Source organism: Homo sapiens, chromosome 11, assembly GCF_000001405.40.
Source record: "Homo sapiens chromosome 11, GRCh38.p14 Primary Assembly".
Lineage (NCBI taxonomy): Eukaryota > Metazoa > Chordata > Mammalia > Primates > Hominidae > Homo > Homo sapiens.
Genome location: NC_000011.10, coordinates 90,117,348 through 90,128,233, shown reverse-complemented (window position 1 = coordinate 90,128,233; position 10,886 = coordinate 90,117,348). Strand labels below are relative to the sequence as shown.

The following is a 10,886-nucleotide window of genomic DNA, read 5'->3' as shown; positions in this document are numbered from 1 at the left end:
CATAAGTAGCAAGGAGCCTAATGTTAATTCCCAAGACCATGGGGAAAATGTCTCCAGGCCATGTCAGAGAACTTCTCAGCAGCCCCTCCCATTGCAGGCCCAGAGGCTCAGGAGGAAAACGTGATTTTTGTGGGCTGGGACCAGGGTCCCCGTGCTGTGTGCAGCCTAGGGACTTGGTGCCCTGTGTCCCAGCCACTCCACCTGTGGCTGAAAGAGGACAACATAGAGCTCAGGCTGTGGCTACAGAGGGTGGAAGTCTCAAGCCTTGACAGCTTCCATGTGGTGTTGAGCCTGCAGTTGCACAGAAGTGAAGAATTGAGTTTTGGAGAGGCCAGGGGTGGAATGATATGATTTGGCTGTGTCCCCATCCAAATCTCAACTTGAATTCTATCTCCTAGAATTCCTGCTGTTGTGGAAGGGACCCAGAAGGAGGTAATTGAATCATGGGGGCTGGTCTTTCTTGTGCTATTCTTGTGATATGAATAAGTCTCATGAGATCCGATGGGTTTATCGCAGCTTTCTACTTTTGTTTCTTCCTCATTTTCTCTTGCTGCCACCATGTAAGAAGTGCCTTCTGCCTCCCTCCATGATTCTGAGGCCTCCCCAGCCATGTGGAAGTGTAAGTCCAATTAAACCTCTTTTTCTTCCCAGTCTTGGGTATGTCTTTATTGGCAGCAAGAAAATGGACTAATACAAAGGTAAAAAAGATTAAAGAAGATACAGAGAGTAAGAGAATCATGGTGGGGCCCCAGAAGACATAAAATAGCTGGTTCAGTGAATGGTCTCTGGCCTTCACAAAGACCAAAACTGTACCTGGCTACCTATTCTAAGTCCTGAAACACACACAAGTCATCTGTCCACAACAAAACTAAGTCTCTAACCAACACAAACTTTTGTTTTACTTCTCCTTAAAATCTCTTTTCATTAAAAAGACCTGGAATCTGGAAAACATTACACTAGGTGAAATAAGCCAGACACAGAAAGGAAAATACTGCATGAGCTTACTTTTATGTGGAGTCTAAAACAAGTCAAACACGTAGAAACAGAGAGAAGAATGGTGGTTTTCAGGAGCAGGAAGGAGGAGGAAATGGAAAGTAGTAGGTCAAGGGGTAGAAAACTGCACTTTTATAGGATAAATTAATCTAGAGATCTAATGTACAGCGTGAGAACTGTAGTTGATAACATTGTATTGCATATAAAAATTTGTTGAGGGTAGATTTTAGGTGCTCTCACCACACACACACACACACGCACACACACACGCGCATGCACTCACTCACACCAGTAATCATGGTAGGTCATAGATAGTTTAATTTGCTGGAATGTTGTGGCCACTTCATTATGTATACATACATCAAAACACCATGTTGCACACCTTAAATATATATGATACACATTTTATTGGACCATTTCATAGAATTCTTTTTTACTGCCATATTGAGAAATGGGATAAAATCCCCTCAAACTAAATATATAAAGCAGAGTATTAAATGTGCAATAATCAGAGGATAATTATAGTCAAATGAAAACACTGTTAAAAATTTTTCTTCAAAAAGATTTAAAAAGCATTTAACTTTAGTCAACAGTGAAGGATACAGAGACCCTAGGACCATTATTTTTGCCCTACCTGTTGTCATCTTTGGCATGGTGAGCAGGTATACTACAAAAGTGGTGTTGCAACATCAAAACATTGCATTTTATATATTGCTTAGAGAAGAGTCTGTCTTTACAATTTATTGGCCTGAGGAGATCCCACCTCCCACTCAGCAAAATACAGTGAAAGAGAGACTCTACCCTACTAGACAATCAGCTTTCCTGCATCTTATACTTTTATCCCATTTGATCAGTTTTGGTGAAACCAAATTTAAGACTCATGTTTGAGTACAGAATTTCAGAATTTAGAGGAAGGTGATTCTTGTTTACCTTCCACTTTAAAAAATGCTTTGGATACTTGATCTGTAAGCATTGGGAAGTGACATTTCACCTAAGTGAAAGGGTGTTTTGCCTGTCATTAAAATGTCTCCATTGTAAACTGTATTGCCTGTAATCTGTATCATTTTTGGCCTATGCTTTGGTTTCTGTTAGCTTCTATTTTGCAAACAATATACATTACTCTAACTTGAACAGAAAAGAAATAGTAGCTCATAGAATCTCTGGCAAGATTAGAGAATCTTTTTTTTTTTTTTTTTTTTTGAAGTGGGCAGTGATTAAAGTGGCCAGTCAATCATAACTATGGCAAAAATGATGACAGAGGAACAATCTGGTGAGGCTGGTATGGCTGCGGCAGCGGGACACTGGATGGCACCCCTTGTTTTAGAGATGATCCCCATGATCACCACCACCATAGAACAGTGAGATCATGTGCCTGTGCTCTACCAGGGTCAGGGAAGACAGATGTCTAGACTTTATAGATTCTGAGACCATGAAGAATCACACAGCAGAACATTCCACAAACATAGAAAGGGTGTTCAAATGCTGTACAGACAAAAATACACCAGCAAACAGTTATATAGTCTCTTTTTTTCTGCCTGCCCAATATCTGTACATATTAATCTTCCAATAAACTTCCAAAAAACACATCCCCAGTGGAAGTTTTGTAATTTTCACATTTAGCAAACAGGACTACACTCATCATTTCTCTAAACAGACAGGAAAAAAATGCATTAGAGTATTATTTAGAGAAGTGGTTCGCAAAGTGAGATCCCCAGACAACAGCGTCAATATTACCTGGCAACTTGTTAGAAGTGCAGTCTCAGGGCAATTCTAGAGCTATTGAATCAGAAACTTTTCTTCAAGAATGAAGATAACTATTACTTTTAGAGTTGCTTTTATACGATGGGAAAAAATCGACCCAAAGTCTTGTGGTTATTGCATCCAGCTGCAAATCTAGCTTTCTAGTTGATGCTCATTCTTCTTGTAGTTCTGTCATGATTCCAACTCAGTTGTCTCATCCTATGAACAAAACTGAAAAGCTAACTGCTACTTTCACATCCCGTTTACCTCTATATGCAATAGGAGGCTGGGTTCAGTGACTCGTGCCTGTAATTCCAGCTATTTGAGAGGCTGAGGCAGGAGGATTGCTTGAGCCCAGGAGTTGGAGACTGCAGTGAGTCATGATCATGTGACTGCACTCCGGCCTGGGCAACAAATGAGACCCTGTCTCTTAAAACTAAAAATTTAGCCAAGATGGTGGCTCATACCTGTAGTCCCAGCTACTTTGGAGGCTGAGGCTTGAGCCAAGGAGTTTGAGTCCAGCCTAGGCAACAGAGTGAGATGCCATCTCCATTAAAAAAAAAAAAATAAAAAATATATATGTAATAGGGAGAGAGAAAAGAAATTTAAGATAAACTGTAAGAATATATACATGTTACAGTAAGAAATGAGACACATGAGATTAAAATTTTTGTTTCAGCATTTCATTATAAAGTCACTTATAACTTCCTTCCACCACTTTTCTCCCATATTCCCTTTGCTTTCAGCAAGTATCTCAGCTATTCAGAATTATTTACCTTCATTTCTAAGGGACCTGAACCCTTGCTGTACCCTCTAGTTTAGTAATCTCAGTGAACCTTTTGCACTGAATGTAGGTTTGAGGAGGTGATTTAGATTATTATCTCAGTTTAATGGTAACTCTTATCTTCTTATGACAAGAATCTCAATTCTTTCTTACCACAAGAATTTTCCACTCCAGCCAACGGTAAATTCATCTTCTGCCTACAGTGTTGTGTTCTGTTCAGTGGCATGAGAGGCTTAAGATAGCCAGGTTGGAGCCATATCTATGTAACTATTATTTCCCCTGACAGAAACATTTGCTCTGTAGGGACTGGAACCTCTAAATCATCAGAGTCCAGAATTGTGGGGACTACAGTGGATCTTCAAATGTAATCATGAGAAGAACTACCTTTTCTCTATGCTTGGTTTCCTGAGATATATTTTCTGGTTGTGGGAGAAATGGCACTACATGTGTATTAGTTGCGGCTCAGCTCAACTGAGCTGAGTTTGAAGTCCTTCAGGACAGCACTTCAAACTCACAAAATGTTGTCTAGAAAATGCTACTGTAGGCTGAACGCAGTGGCTTATGCCTGTAATCCCAGCACTTTGGGAGGCAGGGGCAGGTGGATCACGAGGTCAGGAGTTAAAGACCAGCCTGGCCAAGATGGTGAAACCCCATCTCTGTTAAAAATGCAAAAATTAGCTGGGTGTGCTGGCGGGCACCTGTAATTCCAGCTACATGGGAGGCTGAGGCGGGAGAATCGCTTGAACACAGGAGGCAGAGGTTGCAGAGAGCCGAGATTGCGCCATTGCACTCCAGACTGGGCGACAGAGCGAGACTCTGTATTTGTTTTTTTTTTTTGAATTAGAAAATGCTACTGTGTCTGAGTCATCAAAAAGCATTCCACTGTTCTATAAGGTTAGATTTTTGTGAATCAAGAAGTACATACACAGACCAATGATGATCAATTAACTAAGACTACTTCCAGGTACCTGAGCTAGCACCTTGAACATACAATGTCTGGTAAACACATTACACTGGTAAATTCACCCTAATCTAAAATTTTCTTTTTTGTCATTTATCACCAGAATCTATAATCCATGCATTTGCAAGATAGTGGCCAATATGAAATGCTAAAATCTGTAATTCTTGCAATGTGTAAGCATTGTTTATGATATGCTATGGAAAAAGCCTTTTTGGGTTTGATTCCATTTTAACCTGGTTACTATTTGGGAGACAATGAGTTATGAAGACTATGGATATTTTCTTTAAAAGTAGGAAAATTCCTTTGAGTGAGAGTCTAGGAGGCTCATTTTCCTCAGGGAAAGGAAGGGCCACACAGGCTGGAAAGCTGGACTCTAAATCCTCTAAGTACCTCTGTATATTCACATTCCAGTGTTTGGTATCTTGCTCTTTTAAAATCAGTGCTCAGACTTTCAGTTAAGAGATTCCAGGCTGGGCGTGGTGTCTCACGCCTGTAATCCCAGCACTTTAGGAGGCCGAGGTGGGCGGATCACAAGGTCAGGAGTTTGAGACCATCCTGGCTAACACAGTGAAATCCCGTCTCTACTAAAAATACCGAAAAAAAAAAAAAATAGCCGGGCGTGGTGGCCTGTGCCTGTAGTCCCAGCTACTTGGGAGGCTGAGGCAGAAGAATGGCATGAACCCAGGAGGCGGAGCGTGCAGTGAGCGGAGATGGCACCACTGCACTCCAGCCTGGGAGACAGAGTGAGATACCGTCTCAAAAAAAAAAAAAAAAAAAAAAAAAGATAAAAGAGATTCCAAAACCCGGATTCAACCGACCTTGCAGTTTGTCAAGTGACAGAAACAAACTTGGCATTTGTTTATAACAACCTTAGCCTTTCACTTGCAGGAAATAAGAATTTGTGTGAGGGAAAAGGAGGATATCAGTCTCAAAGTTTTAGAATGTTACTGAATGATAATTAAGAAACTTGAGTCTATTTATATACATCTTTGAGATACCCTTTGCTGTTAGAGGCAGCTACCCTCAATTATCATGCTTTGAATTTCTCTAGTCTTTCGTGCTGTCTGTCCTAAGTCAACAAATATCTTACCCATATGATTTAAGAAATGAACGAATATTATTGTACTGAATGTAGACAAGAAATAGATGTATATTATTGCAATATACATGTAGACAAGAAATGGATGTGTATTATTGTAAAGTGCTTATACTACACATGAAGTGGTATAATATCACCCATAGGTAAACTGATAATTTAAAGATACATACCCTAAAGCAGTCACTAAAATAACAAAGCATACAGCGAACAAGCAAAAAAGTAGATAAAATTTAATCATAAAATATTCAATCCAAAAGAAGAAAAAGAGGAAAAGAATACTTGTAACAAACAGAAAACAAATAGCTGTCCTTTCCATGGTCAGCACAAAAAAACAAAACAAACAAACAAACAAAAAACACATAAAAAAAGAAAGAAAAAAGAAAACAAATAGTAAGATGATAAAATTAAACTTTACCGTACCAATAATCATATTAAAGGTATATGATGTAAACATTCCAATAAAAAGCCAGGTTAAGAAGAACAAGATACAAAAGACACAGTTATATATGCCATATAAGAAATGAACTTTAACTATAAAAACAAATTGGTTAAAAGGAAAATAACAGAAAAAAAGATGTAACTTGATAACACTAGTGAAAAAAGCAAGAGTAGCTATTAATACATTAGAGGAAGTATATTTAAGAGCAAAGAATATTAGCAGTGATAAAATTAGGTCATTTTAGAATCATAAAGTGATCAACTCATCGAGAGGACATAATGATCCTAAACATTTATGCACCTATGAACAAGCTTTCAATATACATAAAGCAGACACTGATAGAACTGCAAGAAGAATCGAACACGTTCCTAATTATAATGGATTTTTAAATTTCTCTGTCAACAGTTGATAGAAAAAGTAGACATAAAATCAATAGAAACATATAAGATGGTGCAACACTGTCAACCAACAACAGCAGATTGTGCATTTTTTTTCAACATTACAGAAAACATTTAACAGGATAGTTCATATTCTGGGACATAAAACTAACCAAGTTTGAAATGGTTCAAATTACACAAAATACATTTTCTGAGCACAATGGAATTAAATTAGAAATCAGTAACAGAAAGATATCTGAAAAATTCTCAATTATTTGGAAACCAAATAACATATTTTAAATAACCTATGACTCAGAGAGGATATCTAAAGAGAAATCAGGAAGTGTTTTAAAGTGAAAACACAACATACAAAAATGTATGTAATGCAAGTAAAGCAGTACTTGAAAGGGAAATTTTTAGCACTAAAAGCCTACATATTAGAAAAGAAAAAAAAATCAATAACTTCATATTTTATCATAAGAACTAGAAAAAGAATAGAAATTCAACCTAAAGTATGCAGAATCACAGAAGTAATAATCTTAGCAAAATTCAGTGATACAGAAAACAAAAACAATTGAGATCAATAAACCCAAAACCTATTGGTCTTTGAGAAGATCAATAAACTCGATAAACCATTAGTAAAACTGATAAGGAAATGAAGAGAAGATACAAATTACCAATATCAGGAATAAAAAAGGTGATATGGCTGTAGATTTTATAGATATTAAAAGAATGGTAAGAAAATACTTTGAAGAACTTTATGCCAATAAACCAGATGATTTAAGTAAAATGGAAAAAAATTCTAGACAATAATTACAGGCAAAGACCTATAGAAACACACTCGTAATTAATTAGATTTGCTACAACTTTCTTTTTTCCTTTTTTTTTTGAGACGGAGTCTTGCTCTGTCACCCAGGCTGGAGTGCAATAGCATGATCTCGGCTCACTGTAACCTCCTCCTCCTAGGTTCAAGTATTCTCTTGCCTCAGCCTTCCTAGTAGCTGGGATTACAGGTGCCCACAACCACACTGGGCTAATTTTTGTATTTTTAGTAGAGACGGGGTTTCATCATGTTGGCCAGGCTGGTCTCGAACTCCTGACCTTAAGTTGTCCTCCCACCTCGGCCTCCTAAAGTGCTGGAACTACTGGTATGAGCCACCATGCCTGGCCTGCTACAAGGAGAACACATACCAAGAGAAACCAATGGGTGTCTCAGTAATAGGATGTTAAAAGGAACCTATTATAGGACTTACCCTTTGGTTGGGAGATGAGTGAATGTCTAAGAAAGAAGGGGTTTGCTCTAATTGGATGCTGTCAGAAAACAGGCAGATGGTCCAGCCATTTCATTCCTAGGTATTACTCAAGAGAAACAAAAGCATATGTCCATATAAAGACTTGTGTATGAATGTTCACAGAAGCTTTTTAAAAATTATACCCTCACGCCGGGCTTGGTGGCTCATGTCACCTAACACTTTGAGAGGCCGAGGAGGGTGGATAACCTGAGGCCGGGGATTTGAGACCAGTCTGGCCAACATGATGAAACCCTGTCTCCATTAAAAATACAAAAATTAGCCTGGTGGGGTGGTGCATACCTGTAATCCCAGCTACTTGGGAGCCTGAGGCAGGAGAATTGCTTGAACCTGGGAGGCAGAGGTTGCAGTGAGCCGAGATCATGCCACTGCACTCCAGCCTGGGTGACAGAGTGAGACTTCATCTCAAAACAAACAAACAAACAAACAAACAATTACCCCCTCAAACGGGAAACAACAAAGATTTCCATTAACAAGTACTATAAAAGGTTAAACAAACTGATATAGTCAAGCAATCAAACACTATTTTGCAATAAAAATGTATGCACATAACAAGGACAAATCTCATGACAAATATTGAGTGAAAGAAGCCAGGCAAAAACAACAAATGTATACTCTATGACGCATTTATATAACAATCTAGACAATGCAAACTTATCTATAGTGACAGAAAGCAGATCAGTAGTTGCTTGGAGAGGAGCAGCAGGGAAGGTCAGGAGGGTGGGATTACAAAGTGGCATAAGGAGGCCGAGGGCAGTAGCTCAGGCCTGTAATCCCAGCATTGTGGATGGCTGAGGCAGGAGGATTACTTGCACCCAGGAGTTTGAGAACAGCCTGGGCAACATGACAAGATCCCATCTTAAACAAAACAGAAAGTGGCACAAGGAAATTTTTAGGTGATTGATGTTTATTATCTTGATTATGGTGGTGGTCTTACACACGTATATTTATATATGTCAAAACTTCTCAAATTGTGCAGTTTTAAATATGTGGAGTTTATTGCAGGTCACCTATACCTCAACAAAGCTACCTAGAAAGAAGGAAAGGAGGTAATTGACTTTTTTAAGCTTCATGCAGAGTCAGTTGGATCAGAAGAAAATATACTCATCCAACATCCTCCTTCTTCCTCTATGGGCACTGATTGTAATATCTCTATTAGCGTACAGATATTTTAAAAATTTATATAAATATTTTTGATTGACAAACCATAATTGTATACATTTATAGGCTACAATGTGAGATATATATATATATATATATAAGGTGGCATGATTAAATCAAGCTAATGAACATATCCATCATCTCACTTACCCATCATTTTTTATGGTGAGACGTGAAATTTACCATTATTTTGAAGTATGTAGTACATTATTATTGACTACAGTCACTCTGCTGTGCAATAGATCTCAAAACCTGTTCCTCCCATATCTGAAACTTTGTACCCTTTGATCAACAGGCTCCCACTCCCTTCCTCCCCTTCTCCCAACCCAGCCTCTGGTAACCATCCTTCTACTTTCTACTTAGAGCACACACTTGTATTTTAGTGGAATGGATGTGAGGCTAAGTAACCTGAAAGTTTAGTTGGAAGTCAAGGTTTCTTTATGAGCCACTTTTTTCCCATTGGGAAGATAGGTAAAACAACATTTTCTTCCACGTATACGTAGGCAATATTATGACTCACTATTATGTTTAAAGACTAAATTACAAGTTTGAGTTCATGGAATTCAAGCAGAAAAATTCGGAGAAGTTTTCTTTTTCTTTTTTTTTTTCCTGGACTAGGCGCTGATTTTCTTCCAGCCTCTCTACCCAGAAATCTTGATTCCTACTCAGTACAAATATCCAGAAACTTCTTACCTTCCTACACAGAAAAGCCACTTCTTTAATCATATTTTCTCTAGATAATGGTATTTACAGGCGCCACTTGGATTGGCTGAGAACACTTTGCTTTGCTTTACTCAGAAGGTAGACTTTATTCTTTCCCCCCTCCCGCCTTTTGTGTTATATCCTGTCAATCCTTGAAGGGGCAAACTATCCCGCTCCCTCACCCTGTGTTTCCTCCACCCTCAGCTTCACTCAGACCCACGGTATCAACACTCAATGGGTGAACTGCTGTCGATGAAACATATTGCCATCATTGTAGTTGACTTTATTCTTAATAATAATCGGAGCAAACTGACCTTAAATGTCACGTAGGTCAAGTTGTACACAAATGCCTATCACGGATCTGTAGATGGGTATTGTCAAGTTCATTTTTGTATGCTTTCTACTTCTGTTCTAACTTTGACATACATTTGTGGTTTCCAAAAGGGAGGTAAAGACAATTTTACACTTTATAGTTTTTAACTTACAAGATGTCTGTAAAGACCTCACATTAGAATCACCTGGGACCTTTAAAAATGTCAATGATTGGCTGGGCGCGATGGCTCACGCCTGTAATCGCAGCACTTTGGGAGGCCAAGGCAGGCGGATCATGAGGTCAGGAGATCGAGACCATCCTGGCTAACACGGTAAAACCCCGTCTCTACTAAAAATACAAAAAAATTAGTTGGGCGTGGTGGCGGGTGCCTGTAGTCCCAGCTACTCGGGAGGCTGAGGCAGGAGAATGGCGTCAACCCAGGAGGCAGAGCTTGCAGTGAGCCAAGATCGTGCCAGTGCCCTTCAGCCTGGGCAGCAGTGGGAGAATCCATCTCAAAAAAAAAAAAAAAAAAAGCCAATGATTGAAGCCTAATACTGAAGATTCTGATTTATTAATAATTAGTCTGTGCTGGGTGTTAATTGAGCTCCCCAAGTGATTACGCATGTAGGACTTCAAACCACTAATTTAGAATCTTGTGACTCAAAATTTGGGCAAAAATGAGCAGCATCAGTATCACCTGGGAGCAGCTTCAGGCCTCACTTTAGATTTACTCTAAATCTAAATATTTTATTTTTATTAAAAAAAATTAAGAACAGATTACAAGCTTCAACTACATCTAAATTCTCTGGATTTACTTTAAAAGAATCTACATTTTGACACAATACCAAAGTGAACTAAATTCGCTTTTTTTTTTTTTTTTTTTGAGACAGAGTCTTGCTCTGTTGCCCAGGCTGGAGTGCAGTGGTTCAATCTTGGCTCACTGCAACTTCCATCTCTTCAGTTTAAGCGATTATCCTGCCTCGGCCTACAAAGTAGCTGGGATTACA

General features: G+C 38.7%; 1 non-coding gene across 1 annotated transcript; it reads right to left on the bottom strand.

Annotated features, from left to right (window-relative positions):
* Positions 1-9,772: 9,772 nt before the first annotated feature.
* On the bottom strand, positions 9,773-9,843 carry LOC124900309 (small nucleolar RNA SNORD56). Its single transcript, XR_007063003.1, has one exon. It is a non-coding gene; the product is annotated as a small nucleolar RNA SNORD56 (small nucleolar RNA).
* Between the last annotated feature and the right edge of the window lie 1,043 nt (positions 9,844-10,886).